The sequence below is a fragment of the Homo sapiens genome, chromosome 19 (genome assembly GCF_000001405.40).
Source record: "Homo sapiens chromosome 19, GRCh38.p14 Primary Assembly".
NCBI lineage: Eukaryota > Metazoa > Chordata > Mammalia > Primates > Hominidae > Homo > Homo sapiens.
The window spans coordinates 780178-796103 of NC_000019.10; the positions used below are offsets into that span (position 1 = coordinate 780178).

Genomic DNA, 15926 nt, shown 5'->3' on the forward strand with positions numbered 1-15926 from the left:
CATCCCCTCCCCATCCCTGAGAATCCATGCATCCCCTTCCTGTCTCTGTGGCTTGGTCTGTCTGTCCTGGACATTTCTTTTTTTCTTTTTGTTGTTGTTGTTGGTTTTGTTTGTTTGTTTGTTGTTTGTGGGTTTTTTTTGAGACGGAGTCTCGCTCTGTCGCCCAGGCTGGAGTGCAGTGGCACGATCTCAGCTCACTGCAAGCTCCACCTCCCGGGTTCACGCCATTCTCCTGCCTCAGCCTCCCGAGTAGCTGGGACTACAGGCGCCCGCCACCACACCCGGCTAATTTTTTGTATTTTTAGTAGAGATGGGGTTTCGCCGTGTTAGCCAGGATAGTCTTGATCTCCTGACCTCGTGATCAGCCTGCCTCGGCCTCCCAAAGTGCTGGGATTACAGGTGTGAGCCACTGCGCCCAGCCTAGCCTTTTATTTTTAATAGAGATGGGGTCTTGCTATGTTGCCACGCTGGAATTTTTTTTTTTGAGGTCTCTCTGTGTTGCCCAGGCTGGAGTGCAGCGGCACGATCTTGACCCACCAAAACTTCTGCCTCCCTGCTTCAAGCGATTCTCCCACCTCAGCCTCTGGAGTAGCTGGGATTACAGGTGCCCGCCACCACACCCGGCTAATTTTGTATTTTTAGTAGAGATGGGGTTTCATCATGTTGGTCGGGGTGGTCTTGAACTCCTGACCTCAAGTGATCCGCCCGCCTCGCCCTCCCAAAGTGCTGGGATGACAGGCGTGAGCCACCGTGCCCGGCTGCCCACACTGGAATTCTATGTTATAGGAACTTCATCTCACTGAAAGAAAAAGGGGACTCCTGGATGGGTCCTGAATTTAGACATTTATTTGTTCATGAAACAAACGCTGATGGGGCCGTTGCACACCCAGGTCTGCACTGGCCGCCCTGTGGGGCCCCGGAGGGGCGGGGGCAGGGAGAGGCCGCCTGAGAGGCAGTGGCCCGGGTGGAGGACCCAGGGCTGGGCCTGGCGATGCTCCGACTGCAGCTTCCGGAGAACAATCTCAGGTCCACAATGTGGAGACGTTGGCAGATGCTCCTGCTGAGGACCGACAGACATCATCCCCGCTTCATCCTGCTTTTTCCTCCCATGAGGAGGTCAAAGTCACACCGTGGGGCCAGGCCCGGTGGCTCATGCCTGTAATCTCAGTACTTTGGGAGGCCAAGGTGGGCAGACTGCCTGGACCCAGGAGTTCAAGACCAGCCTGGGCAACATGGTGAAATCCCATCTCTACTAAAATACAGAAAATTAGCTGGGCGTGGCTGGGCATGGTGGTTCACGCCTGTTATCCCAGCACTTTGGGAGGCTGAGGCGGGCGGATCATGAGGTCAGGAGATCGAGACCATCCTGGCTAACAGGGTGAAACCCCGTCTCTACTAAAAAATACAAAAAAAAAAATTAGCTGGGCGTGGTGGCAGGCGCCTGTGGTCCCAGCTACTCAGGAGGCTGAGGCAGGAGAATGGCCTGAACCCGAGAGGCGGAGTTTGCAGTGAGCTGAGATCACGCCACTGCACTCCAGCCTGGGCGAAAGAGTGAAACTCCGTCTCAAAAAATAAAAAGAAAAGAAAAGAAAAGAAAAGAAAATTAGGCCGGTGTGGTGGCACACACCTGTAGTCCCAGCTGCTCGGGAGGCTGAGGCAAGAGAATCGCTTGAACCCGGGAGGCGAGGGTTGCAGTGAGCCGAGATCGCGCCACTGCAAGACTCCGTCTCAGAAAAACAAAGTCGCACAGGAGAGTCACGTCCACCCCCTGGGCCACCGGACAGTCGCCACAGACCAGGCAGCTGAATCCCCGCTCTACAGACAACCCCATCAAGGCTGGGGCAGTGAGACGCTCTGAAGGCCACAGGCCCCCAGGATCCCACCCCGTCCGTCTCTCCCTCCCTGCTGTCCCTCTGTGAGCCACACCCTGCGGCTGTCAGCGGCAGTGATGGGGGCTGCAGGGGCTGGGGACAGAGGGGGATGAGTTTCCAGCCAGGCGGCCTGGGAGGGTAGCTTTAATCCCCACCTCGGTTTTGTCTTAGAAGCAGTTGCATGGCTGTGCTCCAGGCCGTCCAGGGTTCAGGCTGAGCCACCGTCTAGGTCTAGACGTCAGTGTCCATCAGGACCTGGCGTGCCCTGCAAGCAGACATGTGCTCCTTCGACCTCCGTCAACCCTGGAGATGAAGCAGGGAAGGGGCCCTGGCTGGAGGCTTGGACATCCATCCGGAGGGGCGGAGTGGCCTCGAGGCGGTGTGTGAGTCCCCGGGGAAGATGCAGGGGACGCTGGGTGGCCGGTGGCACGAGTGAGGCTCGGGGTCCCGCAGCCCCCCGTGGTGTGGGTGCCTGAGTTGGGGGGTCCTCGAGGAGGACAAGGGAGGGAACTGAAGGGGGCCAGGACACCCGGTAGCTTGGCTGCCGGGGGCTCTGTGATATGCTAAGTCCCTCCTGCTCACCACTAAACCCAAGAGGAAAAGGAATTCCTGGCAGAGTCCAATTTAAAGTCAACAAACAAACAATGTGGGAAGGAGAGAAGGAATCCCAGGAATGTGGGCGAGGTCCTCCTCCCGCCGGGGCCACCCTGGACCCGGCGAGAAATCGAAGGTCCCCCAAGGACCCACGTCCAGGAGCCAACAGCCTCTCTGTGCAAACCAGACAACCCTGCAGGAACTGTGCTTGAAGAAACCGTGGAAACTGCCCCCAACCCTCCCGTCTCTATTTCTTTCTCTGTTTTATTATCTCATTCTTGGCTGTGAGGTAAACAGGAGAAAATGAGAAGGTGGTTCTGGAGGACCCGACCGAATTTGCTTTCGTGACAGGGTCAAGCGCCCTTTCCTCGCCGGCCGCAGCCCTCACCAAAGGGGATTTGGGGGCCTCCGGACAGGGGTCCTGAAGGTTTTGAATTGTTCAATCTCTGGGGGTACAGGAACCCCTGCAGGAGGTTTCAAAGGCAAGAGTTTCGCAGAGAGAAAAAAACCATGAACTTTGCAGGTTGGTGGCGGAATCTGGTGATTTAAGAAAACGTGTTTAAGCCTCGGCCGGGCCGCGCCTGGGCTGTCTGCGGTGCTCTTCCGGAATTCTCTACAATATCTGGAAGTGACCAAGAAAATTCCAGAACCCGGAGGCTGCGCCGTGGAGATAAACATGGGCACCTGGGTATGTTTGTTTTTATTGTTAGGACCTATTTTATCACAAGCAAAAAAAAGGAAGCTGCCCAGAAATCCAGGGGTGATGGATAGAAGGCGATGGGGCCTGCAGTGGCCCAACGGATTCTAGAATTTTCCTCTAGGAAGATGCCCGGGAATTTTAACCCTGTTGGCTCGACCCAGAAGCTCGGGGTGGCAGGGAAAGGATCACTGTGGCCTTCCTTCCTTCCTTCCTTCCTTCCTGGAATTTCGCTCTGTTGCCCAGGCTGGAGCGCAGTGACGTAATCATAGTTTGCTGCGGCCCTGACCCCAATGGCACAAATGAGCCTCCTGCCTCAATCTCCTAAGTAGCTGGGACTACAGGCATATGCCACTACGCCCGGCTAAATTTTTTTTTTTTTTTTTTTTGAGACAGAGTTTCCCTCTTGTCGCCCAGGCTGGAGTGCAGTGTCGCAACTTCGGCTCACCACAACCTCCGCCTCCCAGGTGGAAGCGATTCTCCTGCCTCAGCCTCCCAAGTAGCTGGGATTACAGGCATGAGCCACCACGTCTGGCTAATTTTTGCATTTTTAGTAGAGACGGGGTTTCGCCATGTTAGCCAGGCTGGTCTCGAACTCCTGACCTTGTGATCCACCCACCTCGGCCTCCCAAAGTGCTGGGATTACAGGCGTGAGCCACTGCGCCCGGCCCATTGTTTATTTATTTATTTTTGTAGAGACAGGGTCTCGCTGTGTCACCCAGGCTGGAGTGCAGTGGCAAGATCACATCCCACTGCAGCCTCGACCTCCTGGGCTCAAGTGATCCTCCTGCCTCAGCCTCCTGAGTAGCTGGGACCACAGGCATACGCCAGCACGCCCAGCTAATTAAAAAAAAAAAAAAAAAACTTTAGCAGCCAGGCACGGTGGCTCACTCTTGTAATCCCAGCAATTTGGGAAGCTGAGGCGGACAGATCACTAGAGGTCAGGAGTTTGAGACTATCCCTGTCTCTACTAAAAATACAAAAATTAGCCAGGTGTGGTGGCGCACATGTAATCCCAGCTACTCCGGAGGCTGAGGCAGGACAATCACTTGAACCCGGGAAGCAGAGGTTGCAGTGAGGTGAGATCGTGCCCCTGGGCGACAGAGGGAGAATCCATCTCAAAAAAAAAAAAAAAAAATTTCCGGATGGGGTCTCGCCACGTTGCCCAGGCTGGTCTTGAACTCCTGAGCTCAAGTGATTCTCTCACCTCGACATCCCAGGTTGGTGGATTACAGGCGTGAGCCACAGTGCCTGGCCCTGGCTTTTCTTCTTGTTTGTCAGGCTCTGCTGTTGTGATAGGAAGGCTTGAGGACTTCAAAGGGGCGGCTGGTGTGCGGGGTTGGGGACGATGGCAGGGACAGGAGGGAGGTGCTGTTGGCATGTGTGGAATGTGGCATTGGCGCTGGATGGACGGGTCTGTGTGCGCTGACTGCGTGTCCGATGCCAGGGCCTGTGTTCCCCCTGCACGTCCCCAGGAAGGAACTGCTGGACCAGCAGAATGAGGGGCCAACGCCAGGGGCAGCACTGCCCGGCCACAGAGGACTGTGGCCCCACAGATGACACCCTCAGCTACCAGCTCCTGCATCTGGAAGATGACCAGGAGGAGGAAGGACGGTCTGCAAGTGTTCAAAGTGATGTTTCCAGGCCGGGCGCGCTTGTAATACCAGCATTTGGGAGGCTGAGGCAGGCGGATCACCTGAGGTCGGGAGTTCGAGACCAGCCTGACCAACGTGGAGAAACCCCGTCTCTACTAAAAATACAAAATTAGCCAGGCGTGGTGGCGCAGCTACTCGGGAGGCTGAGGCAGGAGAATCGCTTGAACCCGGGAGGCGGAGGTTGCGGTGAGCTGAGATTGTGCCATTGCACTCCAGCCTGGGCAACAAGAGTGAAACTCCGTCTGAAAAAAAAAAAACCTCTATAACATCCAAAATACTAACCACTTGTTACCTCTAGATTGTTTGGGGATGTTAGATTTCTCCTTTGTTGCCAGCTCTTTTATTTTTATTTATTTATTTATTATTATTATTATTATTATTATTATTATTATTATTTTGAGATGGAGTCTTGTTCTGTTGCCCAGGATGGAGTGCAGTGGTGTGATCTCGGCTCACTGCAACCTCCGCCTCCTGGGTTTGAGCAATTCTCCTGCCTCAGCCTCCCGAGTAGCTGGGACTACACGCGTGTGCCACCACGCCAGGCTAATTTTTGTATTTTTAGTAGAGACGGGGTTTTGCCATGTTGGCCAGGATGGTCAGGAACTCCCCAACTCTTATTTTTAAATGTTGGGCCACACAAGTCTGGGAAATGTTAGTTTTCAAACACATCAGGGAATAAATGGATACAAAAGTCTTGAGGACCACTTAAGAAATGAACAATAGCAGATGTGTAACAGTTATACTACGCTGCTACCTTGTAAAACATTTTAGAAACATCTGTTTCCAGCCGGGCCTGGTGGCTCACGCCTGTGATACCAGCACTTTGGGAGGCTGAGGTGGGCAGATCATGAGGTCAGGAGTTCGAGACCAGCCTGGCCAACCTAGTGAACCCTCATCTCTACTAAAACTACAAAAAATTAGCCAGGTGTGGTGGCGGGCGCCTGTAATCCCAGCTACTTGGGAGGCTGAGGCAGGAGAATCGCTTGAACCTGGGAGGCGGAGGTTGCAGTGAGCCAAGATTGCACCACTGCTCTCCAGCCTGGCAACAAAGGAAGACTCCATCTCAAAAAAAAAAAAGAATAAAAAGAATACAAAAAGAAAAAAAAAACATCTGTATCATCCTTGTAGATTCTGGGGTTTGGAAACAGGCTTTGAAAAAAGTCCTGAAACAGGCCGGGCGCCGTGGCTCACACCTGTAATCCCAGCACTTCTGGAGGCCGAGGCGGGCGGATCATGAGGTCAGGAGATCGAGACCATCCTGGCTAACACGGTGAAACCCCGTCTCTACTAAAAATACAAAAAAATTAGCCGGGCGTGGTGGTGGGCACCTGTAGTCCCAGCTACTCGGGAGGCTGAGGCAGGAGAATGGCCTGAACCTGGGAGGTGGAGCTTGCAGTGAGCCGAGATCGCGCCACTGCACTCCAGCCTGGGCGACAGAGCGAGACTCTGTCTCAGAAAAGAAAAGAAAAGAAGAGAAGAGAAGAAAAGAAAAAATCCTGAAGCAAATGGAGCAAATTTTGAACAGCTTGAATACCTGAGACAGGCCAGGGGTGCGGGGCAGGCTCATTTTATATTCTTCACGGTTGTGTGAATTTCTTGCAATTATATGTAGCAATTTTTTCACCAGGATTTAGTATATTAGCATGTTTCGGGCTGGGCACGGTGGCTCACGCCTGTAATCCCAACACTTTGGGAGGCCGAGGCAGGTGGATCACTAGGTCAGGAGTTTGAGACCATCCTGGCCAACATGGAGACACCTCATCTCTACTAAAAATACAAAAATTATCTGGGCGTGGCGGTGGGCGCCTGTAATCCCAGCTACTTGTGAGGCTGAAGCAGGAGAATCGCTTGAACTCGGGAAGCGGAGGTTGCAGTGAGCTGAAATCGCACCACTGCACTCCAGCCTGGGCAACAGGGCGAGATTCCGTCTCAAAAAAAAAAGAAGCATGTTTCCTAGCAAGCCAATTCAGAATAAAAAGAAAACAAAGGAGAAAATATAATCCCAATAAAATATATTGAAATAAATATGTACACACATATATATATGTGAGTTTATGCTTTGTTTTGTTTTGTTTTCTGGAAGACGGAGTCTCGCTCTGTCACCCAGACTGGAGTGCAATGGCGTGATCTCAGCTCACTGCAACCTCTGCCTCCCTGGTTCAAGGGATTCTCTTGCCTCAGCCTCCCGAGTAGCTGGCATTATAGGTACCACCACGCCCGGCTAATTTTTGTATTTTTAGTAGAGACGGGGTTTCACCATGTTGTCCAGGCTGGTCTCAAACTCCTGACCTCAAGTGATCCTCCCGCCTCTGCTATTTATTTATTCTGGGTTTTTTTTATTCTTTTTTGTTGTTGTTTTCATTTTATCTTTCTTTTCCTATTTATTTAGAGACAGGGTTTCGCCATGTTGCCCAGGCTGGTCTGAACTCCCGGACTCAAGCCATCTGCCCATGCCGGCCTCCCAGTGTGCTGGGATTACAGGAGGAAGCCACTGTGACCAGCCTGAAAGTGTTCATTTTTAAATTTTTAATAGAGATGGGGTCTCACTATGTCACCCAGGCTGGTCCGAAACTCCTGGGCTCAAACCATCCGCCCACCTCGGCCTCCCAAAGTGCTGGGATCACAGGTGGGAGCCACGCGCCCGGCCCCAAAGCCCTCCTTGCACAAGCACCTGAGCCGCCATGGCCCACAGGCCCATCAAAACCAGAGCAAACTGGTACCTGTGATACAGCCTCCACTCCAGCCCCAGGGCCCAGCCCCAGGCCACCCGAGCCGGCTGTGGGTGACCTGAGACCAAGTGTCGTTTCCTGCTATAAACTATTGATGCCTGAGCAGTCACCTCCAGGAGCTCCGGGCTTGGCTACGGTGTCCTGGGTTCCCTGTAATGAAGCCCGGGGCAGCTGCGGCCTGGAGGGCGTCTGCTCCGCCTCCATCCTGGGCCCGCCTGGGGCTCTTTTCCTTCTAGGCCTGGTTCCCTCCAAAATTAGCTTCCTATCGGGATCCCACATCCCCTCACAATGGAGGCCTGACCTCTGGGGAGACACAATGTCAGGGTCACTGTGAGGTTTTTATTTATGTACTTTTATTTTTATTTATTTGATACCGAGTCTCACTGTGTTGTCCAGGCTGGACTGCATTAGTGTGATCCTGGCTCACTGCAACCTCTGCCTCTCGGGCTCAAGCGATTCTCCTGCCTCAGCCTCCCAAGTAGCTGGGATTACAGGCACCCACCACCACGCCCGGGTAATTTTTTTGTATTTTTAGTAGAGACGGGGTTTCACCGTGTTCGCCAGGATGGTCTCGGTCTCCTGACCTCGTGATCTGCCCGCCTCAGCCTCCCAAAGTGCTGGGATGACAGGCGTGAACCACCGCGCCCGGCCTCGATTTACTCATTTTTTTTGAGAGAGAGAGAGAGTCTCACTCTGTCACCCAGGCTGGAGTGCAGTGGCGTGATCTCAGCTCACTGCAACCTCCGCCTCTTGGGTTCAAATAATAATTCTCCTGCCTCAGCCTCCCGAGTAGCTGGGATTACATGTGTATGCTACCACACCCAGCTAATTTTTATATCTTTGGTAGAGACAGGCTTTTGCCCTGTTGGCCAGGCTGGTCTCGAACTCCTGACCTCAGGGCATCCACCCGCCTCAGTCACCCAACGTGCTGGGATCACAGGCGTGAGCCACCGCGCCTGGCCTGACTTTATTATTGTTTTACAAAGAGCAGACCTTCCACCTGCCATGGATAAAACGCCGAGTTCTAGAGGACACTGGAGACAGAGTGTTCCCCAGAACAAGGCCTGGGCGCAGCAGCCTGCAGGGCTGGGGTCTCCACTCCCGGGGGAGCGTGCAGCGGGGCCTGCCATCCCTCTGTGCCCCCGCCCCACCCCCACTCTGCAGGCCGCTGACCCTGTGGTCGGGCTGGTGAGCAGATGGCTGCTGGATCACTGACAGCCCGGCTCACGTTCCCTCTCCCTATGGAGACATCTTCCTTTTAATAAATTTTGCAAGGCCGTGGAGGGGGGCCAGCGCTCTGGCCCACGTCTGTCTCCCATCCCCATCACCACACGAGGCCCCAGCACGCCTGGCTGGCCTAAGTCCCCGCAGGATGAATGGGCTTCCGGGGCCTGCTGGGACCAGGTAAGCAGGCTGTGCGGCTTAAAACAACACAAATACACTCTCGTCTCTGGAGGCCGGAAGTCTGAAGTGAAGGTGTGCAAGGTGCCAGGCGAGTACCCTCCCGGCCTCTTCCAGCTCCTGGTGCCGACAGCCACCTCTGACCCTCCTGGACTTGCGGCCGCTTCCCTCCCAATTCTGCCTCTGCTGCCCCACGGCGGTCTCCTCTGCATCTGTGTCCAAATTTCCCTTGTCTCCCGAAGTCGCCTGTCACTGCGGTGGTGCCCGCCCTAATGATCTCATCCTAACTAATTACATCTGCAGAAACCCTATTTCCACATAAGGTCCCATTTGTAGGTGCCTGGGGTTCACGCAAAGACAGATCTTTGAGGGAACTCAATTCACCCCACCCCGGGGAGTTTGCCTTTGTGGCCGGCCCTTCCCCCTCAGATCAAATTCTGCCTCCTCAGCGAGGCCTTCCTGACCCTCCCGGGCCCTTCCTGCCTTTCTCTCTGGCTGCGGCTGTTTCCTGCGGGGCTGGCTGCAGCTCCCGGCGGCGCCCTGTCCTGTACCTGTTTCATGTCCATCGTCGGCAACCCCTGGCTTCTAACACAGCTCATTGCCCGCAGGACCTCCCAGCAGGAGCAGGGACCCAGTAGGCCCTGCGTCTCCGTCCGAACCACAAGCTGCTGTGGGTGGTCACTTGACAGAAAGACCCCTGCCCCCCCTTCCTTATTTGTTTATTTGCTTTTTCTGTTGCTTTAGAGACTGGATTTTGCCCTGTCATCCAGGCTGGAGTGCAGTGGCGAAATCTCGGTTCACTGCAGCCTCCATCTCCTGGGCTCTGGTGAGACTACGGCCTTAGCCTCCTGAATAGCTGAGACCACAGGCGTGCACCACCACGCCCAGCTGATTCTTTGACTTTTGTTTATACAGGGTTTTGCCATGTTGCCCAGGGTGGTTTCAAAGTCCTGGCCTCAAGCAATCCTCGTGCCTCGCCCTCCCGAAGTGATGGGATTATAGGCATGAACAACTACCCACTTCACTCCATCCTTTCCTTTTTTTTTTTTTTTGAGACAGAGTCTTACTCTGTCACCAGGCTGGAGTGCAATGGTGCGATCTCAGCTCACTGCAACCTCCGCCTCCCAGGTTCAAGCGATTCTCCTGCCTCAGCCTCCCGAGTAGCTGGGATTACAGGCATGCACCACCACACCTGGCTAATTTTGTATTTTTAGTAGAGAAAGGGTTTCACCATGTTGGTCAGGCTGGTCTTGAACTCCCGACCTCAGGTGATCCACCCACCTCAGCCTCCCAAACTGCTGGGATTACAGGCATGAGCCACCACACCCGGCCGAGACAGGGTTTTCAGGCGATCTGCCTGCCTCGGGCTCCCGAAGTGCTAGGATTACAGGCGTGAGCCACTGGGCCTGGCTTTATTTAATTTTTTGAGATGGGATCTCACTCTGTGGCCCAGGATGGAGTGCAGTGGTGGGATCCCAGCTAACTACAGCCTTGAACTCCTGGCCTCAAGGGATCCTCCCGCCTGGGTTTCCCAAAGGGCTGGGAATGACAGGTGTGAGCCCCCACCCCCCTGGCCTGGATATTTCATAGAAATGGGATCACACGGGGCCAGGCGCGGTGGCTCACGCCTGTCATCCTAGCACTTTGGGAGGCCGAGGCGGGCGGATCACCTGAGGTCAGGAGTTTGAGACCAGCCTGGCCAACATGGTGAAACCCCATCTCTACTAAAAATACAAAAATTAGCTGGGCTTGGTGGTGGGTGCCTGCAATCTCAGCTCCTTGGGACTCTGAGGCAGGAGAATTGATTGAACCAGGAGGCAGAGGTTGCAGTGAACTGAGATCGTGCCATTGCACTCCAGCCTGGGCAGCAAGAGCCAAACTCTGTCTCGAAAAAATAAAATAAATGGGATCACACGCTGTGTGTCCTTCTGTGTCTGGCGTCTCTCACGGAGCGTGACGTCCTTAAGGTGCATCCGCGCTGTGGCCTGGGTCAGAGCCTGGATCCTTTTCACGCTGAGTTGTGTTCCGCGGTGGACGGCCGGCACTGGGTTGGTCTTTTCTTCCACTAACGGGAATTTGGGCTGTTTCCACATGTGGCCTCCGTGAATAACACTACGATGAACGTTCATGTACGCGTTTCTGTGTGGACTTGTGTTTCCCCTTCTCTCAGGGGCATGAATAGGAGGAGAATTGCGGGGTTCCTGAGGGCCGGCCCCCAGTGCTGGCACATCCCCAAGCCAAGCCCCACCCCTCTTTTTTTTTTTTGAGACAGAGTCTTGCTCCGTCACCCATGCTAGAGTGCAATGGCCCCATCTCGGCTCACTGCAACCTCCGCCTCCTGAGTTCAAGCAATTCTCCTGCCTCAGTCTCCCGAGGAGCTGAGGTTACAGGCACCCACCACCATGCCCAGATAATTTTTGTTTTTTTAGTGGGAGACGGGGTTTCCCCATGTTGGCCAGGCTGATCTTGAACTCCTGATCTCAGGGATCCACGCACCTCAGCACCCTCTTTGGAAGTTCCTAGCAAGTTCTCTGCCTGAGTTCAGACCCACAGGGCCTCTTAGGGGACGGGGGAGGGTCAGGGCCCAGCTCTAGCTGAACTCCCCCGGGGGGAGGGGGGAGGGGGGAGGCTCAGGACCCAGCTCTAGGGGGGATTGAGGAGGATCAGGGCCCAGCTCTAGCTGAACTCCCCTGGGGGTAGGGAGGAGGGTCAGGGCCCAGCTCCAGCTGAACTCCCCTGGGTGGGGTGGGGAAAGAGGGTCAGGCTGGGGAGGGGAGCACAGAATGGCGGGGTGCCAGGCCTGGGGGAGAGGCGGATGGGGTGGGGAAGGATGGGTCTGGGCAGATAACGCTGTGGCCTTTTCCTGTTGGCCTGAGGGCCCAGGGTGGGGGTGGGGAGAGGCTGGTCTCCCTGAGGTCTGGGCATAGGGAGGTGTCCTGGGATGAGAAGACTCTTGAGAAGTGACTTTGATAATTCGGGGGCAGATCCTTGGGCCCACCACCCCTTGCAGGGACAGGGGTCCTTCTTGGGGTGGGGGATGAACAGAGACTGGAGAGGGTGGGGGAGAAAGGAGTTGAGGGGCTAATTTACAGGACCTCTCAGGCCGGGTGTGGCAGCTCACACCTGTCATCCCAGCACACTGGGCAGCTGAGGCAGGAGGACCCCTTGAGCCCAGGAGTTTGAGACCAGCCTGGGTAACACGGTGAGATTCTGTGTCTACAAAACATTTTTTAAAATGAGCCAGGCGTGGTGGAACTACTTGCTTATAGCCCCAGCTACCGAGAGGCTGAGGCGGGAGGATCACCTGAGCTGGGGAGGTTGGGGCTGTGGGGAGCCGAGACTGTGCCTCTGCACTCCAGCCTGGGCAACAGAGTGAGACCCTGCCTCAAAAAAATAAATAAACAAAAAATAAATAAAGCCCCCATTCCCTTTAGGATCTCTACTTCCTATACCAACCCACTGTCCCAGCTTGGAGGGGCGGGACCAGCCTCGAGCCGCAGTTGATTCCCAGAGCACAGAGCACAGGACGGAAGTGGTTCTGCATGGGGTATAGTGAGGCCAGGGAATAGCAATGCATTCCTGTCCGTGAGTCCTGGCCATCAGGCCTTGGGGTGGCCTCACCGAACCCCCACTCCAAGCTCCGTTCAACAGAAATCCAGGAAATGGGCCGGAGAGGCTGGGAGACCACCCAGGAGACCAGCCCGAGGCCGCGCCCTGGATCCCTGAGCCCTCACTTTTGTAATTAAGATAATAAACCTGTGCTGGCTGTGCGGGCACACACCTGTCATCCCAGCACTTTGGGAGACCAAGGCGGGCAGATCACCTGAGGTCAGGAGTTCGAGACCAGCCTGGCCAACACAGTGAAACCCCATCTCTACTAAAAATACAAAAATTAGGCTGGGTGTGGTGGCTCACAGGTGGATTACAGGGTGGCCTGTAATCCCAGCACTTTGGGAGGCCAAGGAGGGCAGATCACAAGGTCAAGAGATCGAGACCATCCTGGCCAACATGCTGAAACCCCGTCTCTATTAAAAGTATAAAAATTAGCTGGGCATGGTGGTGGGCGCCTGTAGTCCCAGCTACTCGGGAGGCTGAGGCAGGAGACTCGCTTGAACCCAGGAGGCGGAGGTTGCAGTGAGCTGAGATCACGCCATTGCACTCCAGCCTGGGCGACAGAGCGAGACGCCGTCTCAGAAAAAGAAAAAAATAAATCAAATAAAAAAATAAGAATAAAAATACAAAAATTAGCTAGGCGTGGTGGCAGGCACCTGTAATCCCAACTACTCAGGAGGCTGACGCAGAAGAATCACTTGAACCCGGGAGGCAGAGGTTGCAGTGAGCCAAGATTGCGCCACTGTACTCCAGCCTGGGCAATAGAGTGAGGTTCCATCCCCCCCAAAAAAAAAACAAAAAAAAAGGAAAAGGAAAAATAAATCTATGGAACTGCTCATGGGGAGGAGGGACGGCCTGGCCCTGCCACTCATGTTGACGAAGAAGTAAACTGAGGCACGGCCCTTCCCTCCCCCATCAGAACTGAAAGGTGTCTGAGGCCCCAGCAGGCCCTCTGCATGAGATTCGGTGGCTCTGAGGGCCTCAGATGTCCTCACTCCCCCCCCCGTTTCTCCTGCCAGGCTCAGAGTATCATTTTCAAAATGGTAACCAGCAAACCAACGTGATTCTCGCACAAAGGCAAGGTGAGCCTGTTCCTCGCTCACCCTGAATCATTCATGAAGGAGGCAGCTGGCCTGCGGGCTGGGATGGGAGACAGGAGAGGAGAAAAGACAGAGGCTGGGCCCTGCTCGCTAAATAAATCAGGTGCCCACGGGAGCCCCTGGGCGTCTTCCCGCGCTGGCGTTCTGCATATGACAGCTGACCTGTAAATTGCTGGGCCCTCAGCCATGGTTACTGTCAGGCCAGCCCAGGAAGGACACTGGTTTCAGGTGACCTGGGTGAGGTGGAGGCGGTGGGGGGGGTTCCTGGGACCAGGCCGCCATTGCAAAAACAAACGGCCTGCTTGTACCTGCTATCGCCCTCTAAGCTTCAGGTGGTGGGTGGGGCTGAGGGGCTGAGAGGTGGCCCCAAAGAAAGACAACCACATCCTAAACCCTGGAACCCGTGAACAAGGCTTCATTTGGAACACCAGTCTTTGAAGGTACCATTAAGTGTCTTGAGATGAGATCATCCTGGAGTCTGCAGGTAGACCCTAAATTCCGCGACATACATTTTATTTTTTATTTTTACTTTTTTTTTTGAGATAGCGTGTCACTCTGTTGCCCAGGCTGGAGTACAGTGGCGTAATCTAGGCTCACTGCAACCTCCGCCTCCCGCGTTCAAGTGATTCTCCCGCCTCAGTCTCCCGAGTAGCTGGGATTACAGGAGCAAACCACCACGCCCGGCAAATTTTTGTATTTTTAGTGGAAACGGGCTTTCACCATGTTGGCCAGGATAGTCTCAGGCTCTTCACCTTGTGATCCGCCTGCCTCGGCCTTCCAAAGTGCTGGGATGACAGGTGTTTATTTTCGTTTTTGTTTTTTAGAGACAGAGTTTCACTCCTGTTGCCCAGGCTGGAGTGCAATGGCGCAATCTCGGCTCACTGCAACCTCCGCCTCCCGGGTTCAAGTGATTCTCTTGCCTCAGCCTCCCAAGGAGCTGGGATTATAGGGCATGCACCACCACGCCTGGCTAATTTTTGTATTTTTGGTGGAGAGGAGGTTTCTCCATGTTGGCCAGGCTGGTCTCGAACTCTGACCTCAGGTGATCCACTCACCTCGGCCTGCCAGAGTGCTGGGATTACAGGTGTGAGCCATTGCACCCGGCCAGACACTGTCTTAAAAAAATAAAAATAAAAAAAGGTACTGGACAGGTGGCTGGTCATGTGGGGCTTGCGGGGTAAGGGATGGCCTTGGGTTTATACTTTGAGCAAGACAGGAGGCCTGGCGGGGCCACGATCAGAAGTGGGTTTTAACACGATTCCGAAGGGTTAGACTGGTGCTTGGAACCTGGTGGTCTCTACTGCTGCCAGCTGCCACTCAGACCCCCGGCCGCCCCTGCCTGTCTGCTTTCAGGGCGGGGCCCATCCCAGGCACTCCGCGAACAGACAGAAGCGGCTGGTTCTGGTGGTGTGAGGATGGGGGTCTCCAGGGGAGCAAATCCACAGTAACACACTGGGCTTCTCCCAGATCCACCGGACATTCCTGATGAGTGACCCTGGCTGCAGATGGCTCTTGGTGAGTCTCCGTTGACCGGGTGGTTCGGGCCAAAGGACCTTGCCGTGCGATGCCTCCATGGAGCTCGGCGGCCACCCCTAATCCGGGCTGGAATCCTCTGGCACCAGACGCCCGGCGGGGCTCCAAGGCTCCTGGGCCCACGCCAGGCCCCGGCCTGAAACGCAGCACTGCTGGAATAAAACACGCCAGAGAAGCAGGGCGCTAGGCTCGCCTGGATTTGGGGAAACGAGAATTGTCATGTCTTCTCCCTCCGTAGGTTGGTGTTAATGAAAAACCCCCTTTTCAGCATGGACTAAATCCCGCTAATTCTATTTAGGGAGCAGTGTCTACTCCGGGCCGGGAACTGCTCCGGTTTCCAACCGCAGCCTCCCGTGAGGGTCCCAGTGTGGAGGGCCGGGGTCATCCCCTCACTCTGGGATGGCTCCCAACCCGCTGACCTGGCCTCCCCGTCAGGCACCCTCACAGCTCTGTCAGACTCTTCATGTGATCAGCGCTCCTGGGAACATTAGTTTAGGGTGTTTTCTGCTGCTGGGATGGTGGCCCGGGAGGGACCCTCCTGGTGACCCTGCTGGGCCTGGCCCTCAGTTTCCCCAGCCGTAGGCTGGCAGCCTCGAACTGTACGAGCTCCAGGCCACAGTTTCCCCAGCTGTAGGTCAGTGGGCCAGGGACTGTAGGGGGCTCGGGCCTCAGTTTCCCCAGCTGTAGGCGGGTGGCTTGGGCCTCAGTTTCCCCACCTGTAGGCGGGCGGCCTT

The 15926-nt window shown here is 55.0% G+C and overlaps 2 long non-coding RNA genes across 2 annotated transcripts, besides 5 other annotated features; one reads left to right on the plus strand and one right to left on the minus strand.

Moving 5' to 3' along the window:
* Window positions 1-824: 824 nt before the first annotated feature.
* LOC101928450 (uncharacterized) lies at window positions 825-2431 on the minus strand. The gene is made up of 2 exons (NR_187752.1): window positions 2027-2431; window positions 825-1060 (listed from the first exon to the last, which is right to left on the minus strand). It is a non-coding gene; the product is annotated as an uncharacterized LOC101928450 (long non-coding RNA).
* Window positions 2172-2745: an enhancer, noted in NCBI's record as "NANOG-H3K27ac-H3K4me1 hESC enhancer chr19:782349-782922 (GRCh37/hg19 assembly coordinates)". NCBI's record gives its function as "activates a minimal SCP1, AML or CMV promoter by ChIP-STARR-seq in naive H9 embryonic stem cells {active_cell/tissue: H9 hESC(naive)}" and the evidence as "EXISTENCE:reporter gene assay evidence [ECO:0000049][PMID:30033119]".
* On the plus strand, window positions 2619-5526 carry LINC01836 (long intergenic non-protein coding RNA 1836). The gene is made up of 2 exons (XR_001753829.3): window positions 2619-3153; window positions 4638-5526. It is a non-coding gene; the product is annotated as a long intergenic non-protein coding RNA 1836 (long non-coding RNA).
* Window positions 6999-7569: an enhancer, noted in NCBI's record as "H3K27ac-H3K4me1 hESC enhancer chr19:787176-787746 (GRCh37/hg19 assembly coordinates)". NCBI's record gives its function as "activates a minimal SCP1, AML or CMV promoter by ChIP-STARR-seq in naive H9 embryonic stem cells {active_cell/tissue: H9 hESC(naive)}" and the evidence as "EXISTENCE:reporter gene assay evidence [ECO:0000049][PMID:30033119]".
* Window positions 7570-8138: an enhancer, noted in NCBI's record as "H3K27ac-H3K4me1 hESC enhancer chr19:787747-788315 (GRCh37/hg19 assembly coordinates)". NCBI's record gives its function as "activates a minimal SCP1, AML or CMV promoter by ChIP-STARR-seq in naive H9 embryonic stem cells {active_cell/tissue: H9 hESC(naive)}" and the evidence as "EXISTENCE:reporter gene assay evidence [ECO:0000049][PMID:30033119]".
* Window positions 11021-12091: a transcriptional cis regulatory region, noted in NCBI's record as "candidate enhancer chr19.128 targeted for multiplex CRISPR interference". NCBI's record gives its function as "positively regulates WDR18 gene expression in K562 cells {active_cell/tissue: K562}" and the evidence as "EXISTENCE:mutant phenotype evidence [ECO:0000015][PMID:30612741]".
* Window positions 12389-12538: a transcriptional cis regulatory region, noted in NCBI's record as "candidate enhancer chr19.129 targeted for multiplex CRISPR interference". NCBI's record gives its function as "positively regulates PTBP1 gene expression in K562 cells {active_cell/tissue: K562}" and the evidence as "EXISTENCE:mutant phenotype evidence [ECO:0000015][PMID:30612741]".